The sequence below is a fragment of the Homo sapiens genome, chromosome 5 (genome assembly GCF_000001405.40).
Source record: "Homo sapiens chromosome 5, GRCh38.p14 Primary Assembly".
Classification (NCBI taxonomy): Eukaryota; Metazoa; Chordata; class Mammalia; order Primates; family Hominidae; genus Homo; species Homo sapiens.
In genome coordinates, this window is record NC_000005.10 from 93392074 (window position 1) to 93415162 (window position 23089).

Genomic DNA, 23089 nt, shown 5'->3' on the forward strand with positions numbered 1-23089 from the left:
TTGTAATTTTTTTGTTTCAATTTCATTTAGTTCTGCTCTGATATTGGTTATTTCCTTTCTTCTACTGGGTTTGGGTTTGGTTTGTTCTTGTTTCTCTAGTTCCTTGAGATGTGACCTTAGAGTGTCAGCTTGTGCTCTTTCAGTCTTTTTGATGTAGGCATTGAGGGATATGAACTTAGCTCTTAGCACCACATTTGCCGTATCCCAGAGGTTTTGATAGATTGTGTCTTTATTGTCACTCAGTTCAAAGAATTTTTTAATTTCCATCTTGATTTCGTTTTTGACCCAATGCTCATTAAGGAGCAGGTTATTTAATTTCCATGTATTTGCATGGTTTTGAAGGTTCCTTTTGGAGTTGGTTTCCAGTTTTATTCCACTGTGGTCTGAGAGAGTGCTTGATATAATTTCAATTTTCTTAAATTTATGGCCTATCATAGGGTCTGTCTTGGAGAAAATTCCATGTGCTGTTTAATAGAATGTGTATTCTGCAGTTGTTGAAGGAAATGTTCTGTATATATATGTTAAGTCCATTTGTTCCAAGGTATAGTTTAAATCCATTGTTTCTTTGTTGACTTCTGTCTTGATGACCTGTCTAGCACTGTCAGTGGAGTATTGAAGTTCCCCACTATTATTATGTTGCTGTCTATCTCATTTCCTAGGTCTGTCAGTAATTGTTTTATAAATTTGAGAGCTCCAATGTTAGGTGCATATATGTTTAGGATTGTGATATTTTCCTGTTGGACAAGGCCTTTTACCATTATATAATGCCCCTCTTTGTCTATTTTAACTGCTGTAGCTTTAAAGTTTGTTTTGTCTGATATAGGAATAGCTACCTCTGCTTGCTTTTGGTGTCCATTTGTATGAAATGCCTTTTCCCACCCCTTTACTTTAAGTTTATGTGAGTCGTTATGTGTTAGGTGGGTCTGCTGAAGGCAGCAGATAGTAGGTTGGTGAGTTCTTACCCATTCTGCAGTTCTGTATCTTTTAAGTGGAGCGTTTAGGCCATTTACATTCAATGCTATTAGCATTGAGATATGAGGTACCATTGCGTTCATTGTGCTCTTTGTTGCCTGCATACTTTGGTTTTTTTGTTGTTTGTTTTTGTTTTTTAACTTGTATTTTGATTTATAGGTCCTGTGTGATTTATGCTTTAAAAAGATTCTGTTTTGATGTGTTTCCAGGATTTGTTTCAAGATTTAGACCTCCTTTTAGCAGTTCTTGAAGTGGTGGCTTGGTAGTGGCGAATTCTCTCAGCATTGGTCTGAAAAAGACTGTATCTTTCTTTCACATATGATGCTCAGTTTCACTGGATACAAAATTGTTAGCTGATAATTGTTTTGTTTGAGGAGGCTGAAGATAGTGCCCTGATCCCTTCTAGCTTGCAGGGTTTCTGTTGAGAAATCTGCTGTTAATCTGATAGGTTTTCTTTTATAGGTTACCTGGTGCTTTTGTCTCACACTCTTAAGATTCTTTCCTTCACCTTAACTTTGGATAACCTAATGACAATGTGCCTAGGCAAGGATATTTCTGTGATGAATTTCCCAGGTATTCTTTGTGCTTCTTGTATTTGGATGTGTAGGTCTCTAGCAAGGCTGGGGAAGTTTTCCTCAATTATTCTTCTATTTAGAATTCTCTTCTTCCTCAAGAACACTGATAATTCTTCGGTTTGGTCGTTTAACATAATCTCAGACTTCTTGGAGGCTTTGTTCATATTTTCTTATTCTTTTTTCTTTGTCTTTGTTAGATGGGGTTAATTTGAAGACTTTGTCTTTGAGCTTTGAATTTCTTTCTTCTACTTGTTCAATTCTATTGCTGAGACTTTCCAGGGCATTTTGCATTTCTATAAGTGTGTCCAATGTTTCCTGAATTTTTTATTGTTTTTTCTTTAATTTCTATTTCCTTGAATATTTCTTCCTTAACTTCTGGTATCATTTTTTGGATTTCCTTGCACTGGGTTTCGCGTTTCTCTGGTGCCTCCCTGATTAGCTTCGTAACTAACCTCCTGAATTCTTTTTCAGGTAAATCAGGGATTTCTTCTTGGTTTGGATCCATTGCTGGTGAACTAGTGTGATTTTTTGGAAGTGTTAAAGAGCCTTGTTTTGTCATATTACCAGAGTTGGTTTTCTGATTCCTTCTCATTTGGGTAGGCTCTCTCAGAGGGAAGGTCTAGGGCTGAAGGCTGTTGTTCAGATTCTTTTGTCCCATGGGGTGTTCCCTTGATGTAGTACTCTCACCCTTTTCCTATGGATGTGGTTTCATGTGAGCCAAACTGCAGTGACTGTTGTCTGTCTTCTGGGTCTAGCCACCCAGTAAGTCTACCCAGCTCCAGGCTGCTACTGAGGGTTGTCTGCACAGAGCCCTGTGGTGTGAACCATCTGTGGGCCTCTCAGCCATGGATACCAGCACCTGTTCCAGTGGAGGTGACAGGGGTGTACAATGGATTCTATGAGCGTTCTTAGCTTTGGTGGTTTAATGCTCTATTTTTGTGCTGGTTGGTCTCCTGCTGTGAGGTGGTGCTTTCCAGGGAGTATCAGCTACGGTAGTTTAGGGAGGAATCAGCAGTGGGCAGGGCCCTAGAACTCCCAAGATTATATGCCCTTTGTCTTCAACTACCAGAGTGGGTAGGGAAAGGCCATCAGATGGGGACAGGGCTAGGCATGTCTGAGCTCAGAATCTCCTTGGGCGGGTCTTGCAGCAGTGGCTATGGCGGATGGGGGTGAGATTCGCTGGTCACTGAAGTTGTGTACCTAAGAGGATAATGGCTGCCTCTGCTGACTCATACAGGTTGTCAGGGAAGTGGGGAAAAGCTGGCAGTCACAGGCCTCACCCAGCTCCCATGCAAACTGAAGGGCTGGTCTCACTCCCACCATGCCCCCCACAACAGACCCTGAGTCTGTTTCCAGGTTGTGGGTGAGGCAGGCGAGTACGCCTCCCAGCTGCAAAAGTAAAGGGCTTGGTTCTTCCTCTGCCAGTGGAGTCTGCACAACAGTTCTGTGCCCTCCCCTGAGTTCTGGCCAGGAAGCTTCTCACCCTGTTCAAATTGTTACAAAATTTAGCTGAAGATTACCTTTTCCCTGTGGTGTTCCCCAACACCTCCCACTCTTCTGGCCACCCTCCCAATGGATCCCTGTGGTGCTGGGCAAGAATGGCCTGCTAGGGGACTGAGTCAGCTCCCAAGGCCTTTCCGCTGCTTCCTCTACCCCTGCTCAGCTCTCTAAATTGACTCAGCTTCAGGTAAAGTCAGAAACTTCTCCCACAAACAGACCTTCAGTTTCTCCAGTGGAGCTGTGTGTTCAGTACAGGAGGCTCTCCCTTTCCCAATTCTGCAGTTGGGGCACTCCCAGTATTTGGGGTGTCTCCCGGGTTCTACAGGAGCAGTCTGCTTCCTTCAGAGGGTCTGCGGGTCCTCTCGGGATTCCTGATTTGTTCTTGAAATTGATCTGGAGCTAAAATTCCATATTCTTTTACTCTGAAAAGAAAAGAACTCTCAGAGCAGGAATACATTGAACTTTTCACATTTCAGTATAAACCAGTAACAGATATGCTATTTCTTATGAATGTTCATGAAGCCAGAAATGTACTGGGTGCATTAAACTCAATCTCAGTGTCACCAGCAAACTGACTTCATTCCCCACTCTGTTGGTCACAAAGAAAAAAGACAATCAGGTTTTATTCACTGGCCTGGAATGGAGAAGGAGAGACTCTTGCTCTAAATGGCGCTTCTCCCTGAACAATAGAGGGCATGGGGTTTTTAAGAATTGAGTATCATGAGGAGGAGGAATGTTAGCATGTGCAGGATGGGACTCCAGATATGCAGGCTCAATTCATAAATGTATTTCTTCATACAACCCCGGTACATAAAATAGCAGAAATTTTCTTTAAGGGAAAGGAATGTTCGTGTTATAATGATATGTTAATGATCTAAAGGCTACTAGGGGTCATCTGTTCCAGTTTGTGCCAGTTTGGGGGTCTTATCTCCTCTGGTATCTGATCAAGAGTCAAGAAGCTCTGGCACCATCCCAGGCCATCTGGTTTCTTTAAGCAGCTATGCCTATAAATAAAAGGACTAAAGAAAAACAGTAAGAAAGAGAACTTTCTCAGTTATTTCATCAGGGCTGCTCTGGTAACATCAGCACAGTGCTGCATCCAAAATAAAAATCTAAGTATGTAAACCATTAAAAAATAATGTTAGTTTTTACTGAAGGTCTCTGGATTTAGTAGTATAAGGGAATTGCATTGCGTAACATGCAGCCAGGCTCACTTCCTTAATCTTAACATATCTCAAAGTTACTGATAAAGGCAGTTGTCCTCTCCCCTCCTTTCTCTCCATAAATTCTTCCATACTACCTCCTAATTGCACCCCATACTAATTCTCTTTACCTCTTTACTTCTCTTTCCCCTTCATTACTCTCTTCAGAAGGTGATATGGTTTGGCTCTGTGTCCCCACCCAAATCTCACCTTGAATTGTAATGCCCATAATCCCCACATGTCAAGGGCAGGACCACGTGGATGTAATTGAATCATGAAGGCAGTTTCCCCCACACTGCTCTCGTAATAATAAGTGAGTCTCAGGAGATCTGATGGTTTTATAAGGGTCTGGTATTTCCCCTGCTTGCATTTCTCTCTCCTGCCACTATGTGAAGAAGGACGTGTCTGCCTCCCCTTCCACCGTGATTGTAAGCTTCCTGAGGCCTCCCCAGCCATGTGGAACTGTGTGTCAATTAAACCTCTTTTCTTTATAAATTACCCACTCTTGGGTATTTCTCCATAGCAGCATGAGAATGGACTAATACAGAAGGGAAAGAAAGACAAAGGTTTGCATATAATGATCTGTGTACCCTCCTCTGAAATCTTTGGAGCCAAACATATTCAGAACTAGTAATTTTTTCAATTTTGTGGTTAATATAATGCATATAATGCATATTATATTCAAGGTTTGGAGAAGCACTCTGAAATCAAACACATTAATATTTGTGTAGTAAAACATGAATATTCATATGAGCTCATAAATATATGAGATAAGTAAATATTACACATGGACTATACAAGCTCAGGTCAGGTTTTATACCAAATGAATTAGCCAGAAAAGAAAATAACTTTTTGTTTTCACAGCTTTGGGGATTTCAAATTTTCTATACTTCTAAATTAATATTTTTTCTGTTATTCCCATCACACTTTACTAATAGTCAAGCAAACTTATTAAGAATGATGGAACCAGGGCTGGGTGTGGTAGGTCACATCTGTAATCCTAGCACTTTGAGAGGCCAATGCGGGTGGCTTACTTGAGCCCAGGAGTTTGAGACCAGCCTGGGAAACATAGCAAGACCCCAGACCCCATCTCTATTAAAAGAAATGAAAAAAAGAAAAAAAAAAAGAATGATGGAACCAGGCTGTCAACAGGATGGGTGATTCACTGAATACCTGCTATGTGCTGGGCACTGTTCTAGGCTCTGTACATTGTGAACAAGATAGACAAAAGTCCTGCCCTCGTGGGGCTTTCTCATATTCTGGGGGTGGGGAAGACATAATAAAGAGGCAAACAAATAAAAATATAATCTAAGATCTGGTAGTTAAAGAGGCAATTAAAAAAATAACTAAAGTTGAGAAAGGGCATAATGAAGAGTGATGGGGTTGGGTGGTCAAGAGGAGCCTCTCTGGGGAGGTAGGACTTGAATCGGCTTGAATGGTAGGATGGAGTGCGACTTGGGACTTTCTGGAGGAAGAGGATTGCAAGCTGAGGGAACAGCAAGTGCAATGTTGGAGCAGGAGTGCTGCTTGAGGAAGCCAGTGTGGTGGAGGGCTCTAAGGAATCAGAAGAGACAGGGGAAGAGAGGTCAGAAGAAAGGTATGGGATTTAAGCGTGGCTCTTAAAATCTCACCGCGATAGAATGGGCCAGGTAACCGGAGCCGTTGTTGGCTGTGAGTGGTAGGAGGAAGACAGCCAGACAATGATGGCTGAGAGGTACAAGTCAGGCAAGGAGTAGACTCAGGTCACAAGGGGCCGCCATGCTGACAGGGAGGCCTGATGGAGTCTCGAAACAAGCACAGTGGAGTGATCTAGGAGGGCAGGAGCAGCACAGGCTGCAGAGGGCAAAACTGCTGTCCTGAGAAGGACGTGGCAGAGAAAGAGCAAATAGACATAGCATTGTGGGACTGTGAAACAAGGTGAAGTGTTGGCTGCAGGACAGGGAGACTCCATTGTCCAGAGGTGAGCTTTGGGACAGAACAGGCCTGGCACCCTGGGAGAAATTCATTCTAAGTTAACTAAATACTTAATTTCCTTCTAACCAAAGCTGGAATCAGTCCTGCTAGCTGGAGCAGAAGGTACCTGTGGGGAGGCTGGGAATTTGGGGATTATCATAAAATTCCCTTCCTGTTTCTAAGTTCAAGGGTAGAGTTGTTAATATTTTGCTCTTCTGCATACCTAAATAGCCCTAAAACAGTCATGGGGCCCTAGGAAAAACAGAAAAAGTGCTCTGCATCCACTAATGAAAAATAATATTTGATACTACAGGAAGGAAACAGCTGCAGTAGTGAATATAGCAGGACAGATGGATCCTTAAAAAGAGCTCTGCTGGTCCATAATAGATTAAAGCTAAGGAAAGGAAAAGGCTTGCCAGCCCAGAGAAATAGTGATGCCCCCAGGATCATGTTAGTAATAATGGTAAGAAAGCTACCGTTATAATGACCGTTACTATTAACTTCCATTTATTGAATTACCACTATTTTCCAGGCACAGAGCTAGGCACTTCACTTGATTTCCCAGTCTGATACCCATGGAGACAGGAGAAGGGCTGGCAGGTGGTGGTCTTTATTGCTATTGTTTACTGTTTACCCTGAGTGCAGACCCAGTTGAGAAATAAGTCCCAAGGATCACACCAATTTAGATTAAAATGTCAGCTTTAAGCCTGAAAAACAGAACTAGAAAGTGTGACTTGGATTTGCTGTCAAATGGACTTCCTAATGTACCTCTCCAAAAAGGAAAACTTTCCCCACAGTAATAAGGCCTACTCCTATAAGCTTAGTTTACAGCAAGAAAAAAAAAGTCCACATTCTTTAGGAGAGATAGAGAGGGAAAGGAAGAGAGACCAAATAAGCAAATTATGCTATCAATAAGTGACTCCTTGTTCCAATGAGCAAAGTAAAAAAGGGAAAATATGGAAAAGTTCCTCTGTCACTTTTTCCTTAAGAAGCAGAGGGCAAATTCTCCTCTTTGTGTGAAAGAGTATATGGAAGAATTGGGATAAATAACCATTTTGGTCTTATGTTCATTTTCACAGACAAGTCAACTATAGTTCTGAAGTGTAAGTAACTTGACCAAGTCATAGACCTATGAGATAAAAGATAGTTCAGGATTTGAATTCAGGTCAGTCTGACTCAGAAGTCCTAATTCTTTCCACCATGTCACTTAAGTTAACTTACCAATTTTTTTAATTCTTACAAAAATAACAAAGGATCACTGTAGAAAGTACAAATTAGAAAAGAGAACTGAGAATGCCTAGAACTACCCATAGCCTTTGCGTTTATCTTGATGTAGAGCCTCCTTCTTTTGTGTTAGATAGCCTGTCTGAGAAAAAGCTCAAAGTAGATTACGACTGGGAAATTTCTGAGGGGGTTGCAGGACAAGGACCATCATGGAGACAGGGCCTGGGGCCCAGAGAATGGAGCTAAGAAGTAGTTCTGCAAACTCCTGAGGCCCAGCAGTCCTCAACATCTGCCTGCCAGCTCTCATCTTGGCAACGCCCGCATCCAATTCCCTCACCTGTTCCCTCCTCCTGGGTTTCTGATTGAAGTCCCTCCCTTCCTCTGGCACCCAAAGCAGGAAAGCTGCCTCATCCATCATAGTCCTTTCTTGTTTCCAAGGCCTCGTACCTATGCTTTTTCTTGTTTGATCATTCCTTTTCAGTTCCCAGAGCACCTGGTTACTGGCAGTTTCCTGGTTTTGAATGACTTCCTCATTTATACATCTGGAATTTGAGGTTCCTTCTTTCTTAAATGTCTACCTGGCTTCCAGCTCACTGTTTTCTCAGACCTTCATTCTTTTGTTGCTTCCACAGATAATTCTATCACCTGGCTTTTAGAACAAGGCCATTCCTGCTCTAGTATGCTGACCTGCTCAAAGCCACATTTTACCCAGAGTCTAGCCCATCCTCACACCTAACATCTATCCAGACTCTTATCCAGGCCTGGATTTCACAGGCCCAGTGCCAACACAACATGCACAACCAGTGGCCGTCTGTGTCTGCAGGGTGACACTAGTCTTTTCCACTTCTACCAATAGTCTGATTAGTCAACAAGGCTCTAAGACACTTCCAACCCCATATGTCTTACACAGTAATTTGTTCTATTTTCATAGATACTCTGCTTAGAATTAGTATTATTTATACCTTGTCAATTAGTGTGTTTATCATCACTTCTCTGATAACAATAGAAATGTATCCCCGTGAAGAGAATATGTTTACAAGGTATTAAAGAATTGTTTTTAAATTTGTTTTCAACTCTCTATGATATATATTCCATTAAAATTCTCTGATGCCATACTTGTTCCTCTTCCTAAAAATAAGACATCAACTTGGCATGAGACCATAACCCAACTGCCTTGGACTGTTACTTACAAGATTACAAGTACTAAATGGAATAAATCTTATTGGACAAATTCAAATGGTTAAATAAAATCAATTAATGAAGTTAAAATATTGATTTAAATGAAAAAAAAGAGCTTTAAGAAGTATTCAAATCAGTGTCTGCACTTAGAACTTGACTAAAATATCAAGGTTTTCTAGGAAGAACTTGAAAATTATTTCCCTAAGCCCACACCTTTCTATGTTCAATGTCATTGCTATGGCAATGAAGAACTCCTGTTAGGCATTACTAGTTAAAAGCAGGTAGGAAGCCAGTGCACATATACTGCCCTCCCGCTTCTAAGACATGTTTCCATTTTGCTAGCAAGGGAGATCAAACCACAAGATCTGAATCCAAGTGGAGGAAGGGGGATGAGTCTCGAATTCTCCGACCGTTCAACTTTTCAGATTCAGGAGGCTTTGGGGTGGGTACCAAAGATCTTAAGGGGCTTGGATAAGATCATCTAATCACTGGAATGCACTCTATTCTAAACTCAGCTTTGAAATCACTTCTTGGAACTGCATTACATAGGCATACCTTCAAGCCTACTGTATACCAACACATATAATTGGGTAAGTACTAGTTTTGTTCAGACAATAGAAGAATAAATTGGTAGAGTGATTTTACTGAGTTAGCACATAGCTTATTAAAGCCTGGTCCCTGACAGATAACCAGCAGTGTCACTATCTCCAGGGCCGAGTGTGATCAAGGAGCTAAAACCGCAAGTTTCTGAAACCAATCAAGAGTCAAAGATCTTTGAGATCTAGCAGGAGGTAAATTTGTCCTTGGACACTATTGAATAAATCTGAAGAAGGACCCCAGGGGATATGTTTATCACTATTACAGTGCTCTTTTAACATGGAGCCCCCTGACCCAAGAGACAGGCAGGATGGAGCTCTAGAAAATCATATGGTCTTCCTGGCCAGGAAAGTAATCTTTGTCCCATTATCTAACATCAATGGCACCATATTCACCACATAGTAGTGACTGATATACAAAAGAGGCTTTTCTTCGTGTTGGAAAAAAAAAAATCTGCTTTTTTTCCCCTGTTCAAATGTGTGGGATTTTATAGCACAGTGCTAGACCAGCTCAATACCTGATTGAAATAACCCAAGAGGAGGATACAGAGTGAAGGCTGAATTCAGAATGCTCTGTGAAAGTACATCTGTTTTATATGAGACACACAATCTGTCTCATTCCAACCTGCATTTCTGGGTCACTTGAGACATTTAAACTGCACTTATAATTAACAGCTATTTTTAAACAGTGAAAAAATAGAGCACTGGTAAGGTACAAAAGCATTAAAATTGCCCCAGTTTCGCTTTTCAATAGGACACACCACTGCAATATGCTTCAAGATCAAAGAGAGCTCAGAAAAAGAGAGAGAGAGAGAGAAAGAGAGAGACAGGCCGATCAGTGGGGATAAATTGTTCCCATTATGATGGTGTAAGAATAGGGTTCTTTCAATTGAAACAATTTAATAACCACATTCATTACATTGGTGTCCACTTGGTTTTATCTGAGCAGTTTTTGCATAACTGGGGAACAAGTTCAATTGAGCTTATTCTCTAGAAATTAAGATGTGCCGGGTTTGACATTCAGAAATTGGGCACTAATAGTCGACAAAGCAGTTGTCTTGAGATTCCCCCTGGATGTAGTGAGATCTGTGTACCACTAATTATGTCAAATGCAAATGCATTTTCTAGAAGTCCTACCCAAAATTTTCGTGAGCTCATTTCAAGGTGGTTAAGGTTACATTAGGGTGATGATGGAATATCAGAGTCTCTTCTTTGGAACATTCTTATAGAATCACTTTGCAAAGCATCACTTATATAGGTATAGCGATGCCATCTGTAAACTTGTTTTTCCCTCAGCTATCACCAGAGGAAATCTTTTGGAGCACTCATCTAATATTCTGTGAGATCAAATAGAATCACGACAAATACTGGAACTGCCGATTTGACAAATAACAAGGGGATCATTCATTTAAAGGGGAAAAAAGTCACTAATTTCCCAGGATTGACTTCAACTATGGATATCTACATACTAGAAAAAGTGTCGGATTTTCTGCCAAGCAGCTTTCCTGAGAGTGGTTACATTTGCTGGTTCTTAACTGCACTATGGAGCATAATGTGTCATTTGAAGAGTAGTTTATCCTAAAGTGCTATTTTAAAAAGATATTAGGAATGGAGCTGTAAAAATGCATATAGAAGAAGAAAAGCCAGGGTTTACATATGATGTATTAGATATACACAATCCATTCCTGTCTGCTTCTCTCGCCAGGAACTAAATCACGTACAGGAACATTTAAGAGATATTTCCCAGTGTACGCTAAATCCTTCTTTGTTTTCTTATTGCTGCCTAACAAGTGGAGAGTAAAGAATTGTTGAAACACACGTTGGGTGGCAACTTCATAATAGCGGCACTTCTTCTTTCCTTCTTTTCTCCAGAAGACAAAGTATAAAAACTGAGAAGTTACCCTTACTTCTGCAAAAGCTTTTGAATAATGGTTTTTCCAGGAGCAAGTGCACTTCTCTCACTAGACCATTTCCCCAGATGGGATTTGCAATATAAAACCACCATAGATTGGCTTATTGAGGAAAGGAGATAGACTTGTACAAATCACTGGAAAGATAAATAAGCTACAGAGATCAATAAATAAAAGCCAGGCAGAAAAAAAATCAAACTCTGGCATTCCAGACCAATTAAGATGTTATTTACTGCCCATGTGATTGTAACTTCGATGCTCTCCTTTCCCGTTTTCACACCATAGGCATTTGTTTTGCTGAGAGAAAGATATATAACTGATGTGTAAATAGAAAATGATATAGATAGATTTTATGTCCCATAAAACTGTTAATCTGTGCTCCACATTAAATATAAAGTACATTTTTTATTTAGACACTGCACTGGTATAATTAAAATAAAGTATGCTGGCTTTATTTTTTCAGTAAGTCATTTCCAACCATAGAGATCAAATAACAGTGCAACAGCAGCATGAAATGTGGTTATAATAGCCTGGGACCACATTTCCTGAAACTAAAACATGGGAGATAATAGTGTGAAGGTACAAATTAAATGCAAATAAAACAGATTCCCTATTGTTGCTAATCCCTGGATTGGGTTTCAGTAGGGAAATTTAGCTGTAATGCTTAACTTCTTTGTACAGCAATCATTGACATGTTATCAGTTGCATTTTGAGATCATTGATAGAAACTCTCAACAAAGAATTTAGACTACCTGTCCACCTTTCAGGAAGAAAATGGAAGTTGTCTGGGGCAAATCAAATAAAAAGATACTGCCCAGACTGCCTCCGGGACACTTATGGCAGTTGGCAAACACTGATTAACTTGTTTCATAATTGATATACATTTTTGTGGCAACCTACTTTCATTTGCCCAGCAGAAGCTTTTTTATTTCAGAGGTGTGTCAGCATGGCTTAGCAAGCACCCATTTTTGAGGGTGACTGCTCTGAAAACATCTCAAATTTTAACACAAGGGGGCCTTACAGTAGGTTTGTGTTACAATTTCTGGTTTTCCTATGCTGTAATAAGCCTACATGCCATGGCAATAAAGAATGGCTGGTAAAATATAGATGTTTTTAACAATTGAAAAATATGATTTAAAGTGAACTTGGCAAAATCACCTTTTCTTTCAGCCCAGTTTCACAAGGACCTTGCTACTAGTGTTTAAAATGGTCATTGAGCAATTTGTTTCTTGGAATTTCCAAGTGCACTGACATGAGTAGTCATTCTGATGAGATATGGCTCTTTTCTAGACAAGAAACTAACTCATGTTTTGGGGCTCTCTGATAAACAATCTCTTTCTAGTCTTTCATAAAATGGCATTTGTCTTGTAACTCCATAATTTGCAGCTCTCGACTTCCAGGAAAGTTCTGGGCATGTTACATTCTGTCTTTTACATTCTGTAACTACAAATAGCAGTAATAGTGCATGCTAAGAAAATAAATGACTTTCCTCCTCACTTCCAAAAACTGTCAGGGACTATCAGAAAGTTTCTGTAGTCCCTTCCTCACCTGGAAGCCTTATGGGTCTCAAAGAAGAATCAGGAGCCACATTTACCCAGGTTAATCAAAAATGAGGAGCACACGGGGGTGCCCAAGATAATGCACTGGGATGCAAAAAAAAAACATTAGATTAGATATTTTATTCATTTATACACTAAAAAGAAAGGAAGATTTACTAGCAGTAAAAATATAGAGCTTAATGGTAGTATAACTTAGAAGAAAATGTACATATTTGGAGGTTCATACTGTAAATTTTTAAGCAATTTTGTGCATAATTTTTATAGTTTGAAGACAATTGGCTTGGTGACTGCTATTAATCCTCCAAATATTGGTATAGAAGAGAACTTTTGGAGACTCTGTGTGGTAAGCAGACTAATGGTCCCCGAAAAATGTTCATGTTCTAATCTCCAGAACCTGTGAATATGATATCTGGCACAGCAAAAGGGACTTTGCAGATGTAATTTAGTGCATGGACCTTGAGATGGGGCGATTATCCTGGATTTTTTTCAGGTGGTCTCAATCTAACTACATGAGTCCTTAAAAGTGAAAACCATTTTCCAGCTGGATTCAGAGAGTGACAGATGTGATGACAGAAGAGGGAAAGATACATGCCATGTGAGAAGAATTTGACCTGCCATTGTTAGTTTTGAAGATGGAGGAAGCGGCCACAAGCCAAGGAAGGCAGGTGGCCTCTAGAAGCTAGGAAAGACAAGGGAACGGGTTCTGCCCTGGAGCTTCCAGAACAAATGCAGCTCTGTTGACAAGTGATTTAGCCCAGTGAAAACTCTGACCTACAGAACTGTAGGAAAATAAATTTGTGTTTTTTTAAGCCACTAAATTTGTGGTAATTTGCTATGAAAGCCATAGGAAATGAATACATTCCATCTGCCCTAATTCTGAGTGCTGGAGTATTAGGAAAAATTTAAGTACAGTACCAAATAGATTCAAGTTGCAATCACTGGAACATTTTTGATCAACACCTCCTGATTTCACATCATTAGAGGAACAAATAGCAGCAAAATACGACATGATAAGTTGACTATATTGTATTTACAAAATTGGAAATAGAATAGGAACAAGCTCTTTGGTCAAGAAGAGGTGAGAGTTTACAGACATGATCTTTACCCATTACCTGAACATTATTTCCAATGCCAGCAAATATTTTTAAAAAGAGTAAAAAATCTGAACCTGGGATATGTTGCATTTGCCCCAAATCTAAGGCACTTAGAGAATTTTAAAACTCATTCCTCAACATCTGAACTTCAGAAAGTAAAATTTCCAGGAATGACAGTATCGTGCTGGAAACATTAATGTGCCAGCACGAAATAATATCATTCTGTAGGAGGTAATAAAGGTATGAATTATGTCAAATTGTATTTGGTTCATGGATGTTACTATGCTTCTTATGGGCAGATACAGCTAACAGGCACAAGAACACCTGCCCATCTCCCTCAGAAAATTAAAGTCGTGTGCACAAACATCCATCTGAGAAATTAGAGGACTGTTTGTGACAAAATGAAAATGTGCAGTGTTTTAGATATACCTCCTAAGGAAAAGGAATATCTCCTGTTACAGCAGAACATACATTTTCTCCTGGTCCTCATTGTAGAAAGAACCATTAAGCAAGTGGTGGCTTCTACTCCTGTTAGGTAACAGAATATGCTAAATGAACTTGCTTCTATGCTATATAGCACCGCCATTATGGACTCTAGCCATTAATTGGTTTGGGGTCACTGGCCATCTTAGTTAATGTGAGGAATCTATTCTTCTTTAAGTAAAATGTACAATGGCGTCTCCTATTGAAATGGGCCAGTTTTCAAATGATATGCATCATTATGCATGTGTCAATGTACACATGTATGGGTTTTCCTGCATTTATTTATTTAGGGTAAGAAAACAGTCCATTTTGTAAAGTTTAAAGAAAGTATTTACAGGTGCCATTGTGTACCAAAGTTTTTGAAAAGTTTGAGAAAAATGTGGCACAAGGAAAATGCAAAACTCTATGAGCCTCATTGTGATTTAACCCTTTTGGAGCCAAAGCACTAACAGGGGAAAAGGCTGCCTTTCTCTTCTTTCCCCCTCTCTGCGGATGCATATAGATGACACCACAAACAGAACCATCGCTCCTGCTACAACCTCGATAAAAATGTGCTCAGTTAATCTACACAACATAGAGTCATCCTCTCCAAAAGTAATTCACTTCTTTAAAAACTGGAAGGAAAATAAATATGGTACAGTTAAATTGTTGAGTAGAGGAATCTATCTGGACATTTCACAAAACATTTCATTATGCTGACAATTCCCAGAAGTACTCTCAAGAGTGCTTTAAGCTGAGGATTACTGCGCTGGAGCTGATGGACTTTTTTTGTAGCCCCTTTAAAAGGCAGTGAACCGTTTTTCTATTTTATTTAAATAATGCCCCTTAAAATGGATTTTTAGAGGTATAATAACTCCTTAAGAGTCAGTTATGCTAAACAGTTTCTCTTGATAGAAATGTTGTAAAACTCGTTAACTGCACAATTTCAGATGCCGGCTTGGTGAACACTAACTGACATGTGAATGACCAGAGTTTGTAAAATAAATTGCAATAGTTGTTGTATCACACAGCTAGCACTGCACAAGCTGGAGGCCACGAGGGGCTCCAATCTGACAGAAAATTACTTCAAGATGAATGAAAAGTGCTTGTTTCTCTTTATTAGTTTTTAGAGAACAATGAAAATGTGGAATTGTTTACAGAGGGCTGATTAAATGTGGTCAGTGGGGCCACATCCCTACTGCTAACTGTTAGCCTCCCCCTCCCTCCGGCCCCCAACCTACACACTCACACACCATACAACTGCAAGCACCCCTCCTCACCCCACCCCCACCCTCAGCCTCCTGCCACATGCATCTTCTTATGCGCTATTATGGCTGCACATCTGTGTGTGAAATGTGCTCATTCTGACATTCCACTGCTGCTCGGCGCTGCAGAGGCCTTTGTTAGGTAAAACACTGTTGTCAAGCCTAACAAGCAGGTCATGCAATTTGCTGGACACTGTGGCAGAGAATAGCCCACGATGGATTGCTTCGGCCTCAGACAATGTTCAGTTCCATGTTGGAATACATACATATTTCTTTCATTGTGCAGCACTACGAAAAGTCATGACTTTTTTTTTAAGACTTTGATTTTTTTAAAAAGTAGGTTCCTTGTGTTAGACTACCCCAGAATAGCCTGTTTGTTGTATTTACTTAGGATAACTACTGTCTTACGGCTAAAGGAAAAAGGCATGAAGTGCTTTAATTGGTCATTTGTGGCTTAATTCCATTTATGTTTGACCAGAAAGCACAGCAGAGGAAAGGCACTAGTTACCACCTTAATACTTAAAGGGGTGGTCAAAACCAGGGCATTTAGGAGGATGTTGTGGAGAAGGATTCTCACTGTAAATTTCCACAAAGTAAACAGCCCTTGATGGAAAGAAATATGATAACTCATTAATAAGCATATGTCAAGCACAGAGAAAATAGTCTTTTTACCAGACCAAGCTAAATGAATTAGATCCAAAAAATGTTTTGGTAAACGAAAAAATTAAGGAAAAGCAAATCACTACCATTCAGCTCAACAAACAGCCTTCCACGGCCCACAACCTACCTCACTCCTAACCTCTCCCTTATACACACACACACACACACACACACACACACACACACGCTGGGAAAAGCAGCAGTAACAGGGAGCAGTTTGAATGCTATTTGTGGCATCTTAACACAATACATAGCCCACACCCCAAATGTGCAAGCAGGATTCTCTCCCGCTCTGTGCAGAATATGCATTCTGAGCCTATTATGTGTATAAACAATGGCATATGTAATTACCTTTCTAGGGTGGCAATTATTCCTCAGAATCAACAACCAGAGTTAAAGCATGTTCCCCCAAAAGACATTTGGGGATCAATTCTGGGTCAATTGCGTCAGGCTTTGATTTATCACATGGTGTCAGGCCATGTTAAAAAAAGTAAGTTAAAAAAAAAAACTGTATGAGGTAAAGGCCAATGGTTTGACTCAAATTGGTTTGTTTCCAACTTTGCTTTCTCCCAATTGCTCTGCCCTTCCTCCATTCTCAAAACAACTGTGATTTGCTGGGTTTTAGCTGTTAGACAGTTTGCTGTTCAGGAATATTAAATGCAGTAAATCTGGACTATGTCCAGATTCAATCTACCCTACACACACACACATACATACACACACCAGGCATGGGGACTTTCTCCTAGGATATGGCACAGAGTAGGGGTGAATAGTTCAGGCTTTGGAGTTCAAGAGGTCTGGATTTGGAGTCCCACAACTTAAGCAAGATAGCATACCTCCACAGTGCATAGTGCCTACTTCAAATGGTTATTGTGAGGTTTAAAGGAGATAGTTGAGAGAATATGTGTAAAGTATCTCACTGCCTGACACACCGTGAGTACCCTGTGAATAGAGAAATTACTATTCTATTGACAGATGGGGCAGCACATGACAAGTGGAGCAGCCCCTCTGAAAGCCCTGTCCATGCATACAGAGTGCGGCAGGGCCCAGGGCAGCAGAGTGGATGTTGGTACAAATAACGGCTGAACTGGCAAATCCAAGACACCAAGTAAGAGGCCCAGGGGACTAGACTGTATAAAAATATCCAGTTTATTTGGATACGTTCCAAGTAGATTGATTGTAAGCTACCAACCCCTAAGTAGCACCAATAAAGGTGCTATTCCATTAGCAAGACTACACTAGGCACCAGGAATGCACAGATGGACACTCCAAGAAATCTTCCAGAACAGGAAATAAATATCTACAGTTTAGTAGAACACAAGTTAATAACTAATACTTCCTGGAAGATACCTCATGCAAACTAAAAGTGGCATAACAAATATCCAGTATCACGACCAGGAGTTTGGGAGTGGGGCGATTCAGCCTGTTACAGACAAATCATATCACTAAAGTTACCAGTCCAATTAGAGCTATTCCTTACTGAGGAGCAAATAATATTTTTTTAGAAATTAAGTTAAAAGGGATCATATGAGAATTCACATCACATTATTTATGGAGCAATATAATGCCTCATTCAAAGAACACTTTAAATCCAGTTTATACAGAGCAACATTGTTTATTTAATAAGATGGAAATAGCACTTACACAATGCATTTCTCAGACAGCACACAGTGCTATTGGCAGTATGTATTGGCAGCTTAATTAAGAAGTCTGTTGATGATGTTAAAAAAAAGCTGACACATTTTCAATTCAGATGGACACTCCTCAAGACAAAGACATGTCTATTGTTGGCTCATACATACTAAAATGTGTCATAGACACTACATAAAATGTCTGGTATCTACAGTTATATCAGTGTCTTTACACTGGGAAAATCATGACACACTTATTCTCAAGTCAGAAATAAATTTTTGGAAAAATTAGACAGTCATTTAACTTATGGAACACGAAGGACAATGAATACAATGAATACTGAAATAATTACTTAGCCAAATTTTCATAGAGCCGTTGCCCAGATGGATTTTGTTCCATCCCTATCCTATCTTGGGTCTCTGAGTACCATCACCCACGTTTGATCCAGATCTTCCTCTTCTTCATGCTAATAACTCACTCAGAATGGCAGGCCCCTAGGGCTGGGGTCCACAGGCTGCAGACTAGTACCCGTCTGTGGGGGTCCATGGCCTATTAGGAACCAGGCCGCACAGCAAGAGGTGAGCAGTGGGCCAGTAAGCATTGCCACCTGAGTTCTGCCTCCTGTCAGATCAGTGGCAGCCTTAGATTCTCATAGCAGCGCAAACCCTACTGTGAACTGTGCATGTGAGGGATCTAGGCTGCGCACTCGTTATGAGAGCCTAACTAATGCCTGATGATCTGAGGTGGAACAGTTCCATCCCAAAACCATCCCCACACCATCCACAGAAAAATTGTCTTCCAGGAAACTGATCCCTGGTGCCAAGAAGGTTGGGGACCACTGCCCTAGGGTGTGGAAGGTAGTGGACTGTAGAGACAACAGGTATAATTCACCTTCCCACTCCCCAAGAAATCCACAAGCAATATATTTTTCCAACAGACAATCTATACCTAAGGGGAAAAAAACAGAATTTAATGCAAATTAACTCAAACTACAATGTATTAATATGTCTAAAGTCTACTAAATATTTATGGAATCAATAAAATGGATCCTATCAGAAGCCCAACAACAAAAAAAAGGATTAAAATGTCCTGAGTTGCCATGTTAGGAGTTTTTTTGGATTTTGTTTTGTTTTTTATTAAAGAGACTTAAAACACAGAATATACTTTTCCATTCATGTATTTATTGTCTTGGGGATACACCTAATTAACAGCAGAAGAAAAACAATGTACCCTGAAACTAACTGTAAATTTATTGAAGACAGGCTCCACATCTTTGTCTCCCACATCTTCTTCCCCTATTTTGTGCAGTGGTTCACATATAGTAAGTATTCAATTAAGTTGAAAAGCAATGCAAGTTTCAATTCACATTAATTTGGAGGGGTTGCACTGATTTAAGGAGCAGCTGAGATGAAAAGGCTAGCTTCGATCTTTTCTGATTTCTGGCTAGTGAGGCACACCATCTTGAAAACTTCCTCTGCTGAACCTTGCATAACTGCTGTCCACTGCGGCATTCTTAATGTCTTGATTTGTTTCCATTTCTGCTGAAGGTAACGAGATGGTTCTCCAGTGCTTATCTTTCCAAAGAGAAAACGTGCAGGGTGATTTGAAGCAGGTACTCAGTGGCTATCTGTCCCAGTCCTAGAGGCAGTGTATCTGTGGGCAAATTGAAACCAATTATTAATCCAGGCCTTTCTAAGAACAACTTTTCAGAAGTACAAAGGTTAGCTTTTACTGATCACTAAAATGTTATTTCGCTCAACATTTCAAAAATACAACCAGGATCTCTTATGGTGGTTGTCTAAAGCTTTATCTCCCTACTTTAAATAATGACTTTGAAATCCATCTCACCCCCAGGCACAGATCCAAGCCTAAGGAAATCAGAAATATCACATACCTGCATATTTGGAAAAGAAAGTTCCCCTACCAGGTAAGGATTCTGCATTTTCATTCCTTGTCTTTATAAGCAGGAAAAGCCCCACTCGAGGTCCCAGGCCCTACCCCTTTGTGAATAGTAAAGTCCCTGCCTGTGTCCCATCCTGTGGCACCATATGGATGGCTGGGAAACAACAGTTGCAGATAGAGAAGCGTGCTGTGAAGCAATCGGACAAGCAAAGAACATTTTCTTCAGCAAAGGCTCTGAACTAGCCAGGTGGGTCAAAGACAGAGGCACACATGAAAACTTCAAACATCAGCTAGGTAGGAAAGCCCCCATGAGGGCAGCATGGAAGGATCCAGTCACACCTTGTGTATTAGTTACACCATCATGCACCAGAAAAGACAGGCATCTTTACAAGAAACATTTCCATTCATTCACATGCTCAGGGGCTGTTGTCTCTCTGAACTGTCTTACTGCAGACCCTGGCTCCACCACCCCTCCTTGCTCAGGCCCTCTTCTCCTCAGCCTGGAATAAGATGGCCTCCTAGCTAGGCCTAGGTCTCCTCTGCCATAGTCTCAACTCCTTCCAAGCAATGCTACCACCTCTGGGCCTCCACCTCAGCCATTCATTCCAGGCTCCCTCTGAGCTTGGGCCCCTGATGTCTCCACTTAAAAGGCTCAGCACTACTGTAACCTTCAACCCATCCTCATCAGAGCAGACCATAGAGAAGCAACTTCAGCCCAGAAGATGGTGAGACTGGAATTCTATATTTGACCACAAATGCATTCAGTTGCACTGACTTTACTCTACATTGCTTCTTCATTTCTCCGTTTTCCTAGTTCCAAACATGTTGGCTCAATCCTCAGAGCTGGCATCTGCCCTGACTGGATTTTCGGTTTCCTACAAACTGGATTTCGGTTGCCTTATGCCTTGCCCTGAACCTAAATCTACTTGACTAGGGACCTGATAAAACCCTTCCCTAGATTCCATTCCAGGCCCCCAGCTGTAGGCTGGGATCCAGCTGTGATTAGATTGCCTCCTTTCATGATACCACCACTCGTGACTCTAAATCTCACCTGTTATCTACAATTCTAGTGGCCCAAACCTCCTGCTAAATTAAATCTCCTCAGGTACCAACACCTTCCCTGAACCAATCCCAACCACATCCACTTGGTCACTAAGGACTGGACTGCTGGCTTATGCTAGTGAAACCAAGTTCCCAGTCCCTAATACACCTAATCTTGGCTTCCTCCTGTTCCCTGGAAACCTATGCTGCTGAGACCCTTCATAGGAACTTCCTCACCCAGCCTAGACAAATTATAGCACTATGGTGTGTGTGTGTGTGTGTGTGTGTGTGTGTGTGTGTGTGTGTGTATGCAATTAGAATCTAAGTGTCTTCTTAATAAAAACTTACTGATTTTTCTACAGTAAATGTCTAAACTACATCAGAATAGACATATATATGTATATATATGTATATATATATATGTGTGTGTATATATATATATATATGCTGATCTCTAGAAAGAAAAGGAGAGGAAAGTTCCATCCCATCTTCTCCTTACCCCTACCCAAGCCCATCCTCAAGGAGGAAAAGACACAAAGTGACTGAATCAAGTTACCCAACTCAGTTAAACTTTTTGTAAGTGGGAGAAGCTTTTAGTGTACTGGGAGAAAAAGTTAAAGCTTTAACTTCTGTGGGCTCTCTCATCTCTTCAGGGTTCATCTCTTTAAGGTTCTCACTCTCTTTGGATTGCTTCTTTCTACTTCCACATGGCCGGTGTGATAAAACTGGACTGAAACTTCTCTGAGCTGAGCTCATCAGAGACTGCATTAGGTTTGGGGTAGGAGGGCCAGGGCCCAGGTAGGCTAAGAACGTATGTGCATGTATTAAATATCTGAGGTGTAGCCTGTGCTCATCTCCTCCAAGTACCTGTGGCCACAAGAAACACGTGGGCAAGGATCTGAATGCAATTAGAATCTAAGTGTCTTCTTAAAAAAAACTTACTGATTTTTCTACAGTAAATGTCTAAACTACATCAGAATAGACCAAGAATTCTGAGAAATTTTGAAGTTCTGGGTCAGTGTTATTTATGATTCATGTATTGAGTACATCCCTCATTCAAAACCTTAATTTTATTTTTATAAAGGCATTTCTCTAAGAACACACTTCTTACATCATAGATCTCTGAGTCTGAGATCTTTTTGAGTTAGGATGCAAGCAAGACAAATCCTGGGGGGTTTGTAAGCCTTCCTGCCAGATTAAAGCCAGGGACTTCTACTATAAAATGTTTCACTGGCTCTTGCAGATGACCACAGTCCACTGTAGAATCATTTAATATTCATGATACTTCACATATTTTGAATATTTACATATAACATATACATACTACATACATATACACATAACCTTACTTGAAAAGAATTGGATAATGGATTTAGGCATACCCCAAAGTCCTATGATCTTTCATCACTTGGACAAGTCTGTGGTGAAAACTCCACTTTGAAACAATGTTTTTGTTAGCATGTAACTCAGAATGACACTGCCCCTAATACCCACTGTCCACATCTTTTTATTGATAGAATCCTTGAATTTAAAGAGATGAATGGCCACAAAAACTATTTTTTCAGGCCCTCCTGATAGCTAGGTATGGTTGATGGGATGTGAGTAGAAACTAGGAATATATTTGATTTAAACCCTTAGTACTAATATATGTTGCTCAGTCACTTCTGTGGCTAAGGTGAGAACATGCCTGTAGAAGAGAAGTCTGTGCCTTGGTGAGAGTGCGTGGCCAGCAGTCTCCGATCTGTGTAGGTATTAATGTGTCAGGGCTGAGTGTTCCAGGATTTCTCTAGAGGCTGGCAAGGGCTCCTGAACCAATTGTCATTTCTGTCTTGCCACTATATCAGGGTTGGAGAAGTCCAAGCCTTAGGACCCAGTTTCCTTTCTACCTGGTGTTCTCCTGCCAGAATACCATGGGCTGTTACTTGCCTTGAGTTGGAAGCAGTTTGCATGTACACTTGTAAATTTATTCATCCTTTTAATTTATATAAGGTTTTTTTGTAACAATTCTCAATTACTTAAGCAATGACAACAAATTTTGGTTTTCTTTTGTTATGTAAGAACATTAGGCCCCAGCAACATGCTACTGTGTAAGGAAAAATAAACTGTTGCAGTTAAAAAAAAAAGTTAGGAGTACAACCTCCAAGGAATGCCCTTAAAGAGAACACTTATGCATCTTCAGACATATTAATGAAGCCAATATCCAGGGGTAGCAGAGGTTATCAGATAGAAGTTTACATCTCCCTGACCCAACAGTCTAAACATAAGCAATCCAGAACTGCTACACCAGCTTCGTTGTGTCAAGGAGCTCCTTCTTTCATGTTTAAGCCACTATACTTTGGTACCTCTCAACAAGAATATAGGTT

The 23089-nt window shown here is 40.4% G+C and overlaps 1 long non-coding RNA gene across 40 annotated transcripts in view; it reads right to left on the minus strand.

The window, feature by feature from the left end:
• Nucleotides 1-17282: 17282 nt before the first annotated feature.
• The window catches only part of NR2F1-AS1 (NR2F1 regulatory antisense RNA 1), a 176234-nt gene continuing 170427 nt past the window's right edge, over nt 17283-23089 (minus strand). For all 40 annotated transcript variants that reach the window (NR_186217.1, NR_186215.1, NR_186218.1 and 37 more), the window contains one exon: nt 17283-19436. This is a non-coding gene — a long non-coding RNA (NR2F1 regulatory antisense RNA 1). The remainder of the gene's footprint in view (nt 19437-23089) is intronic.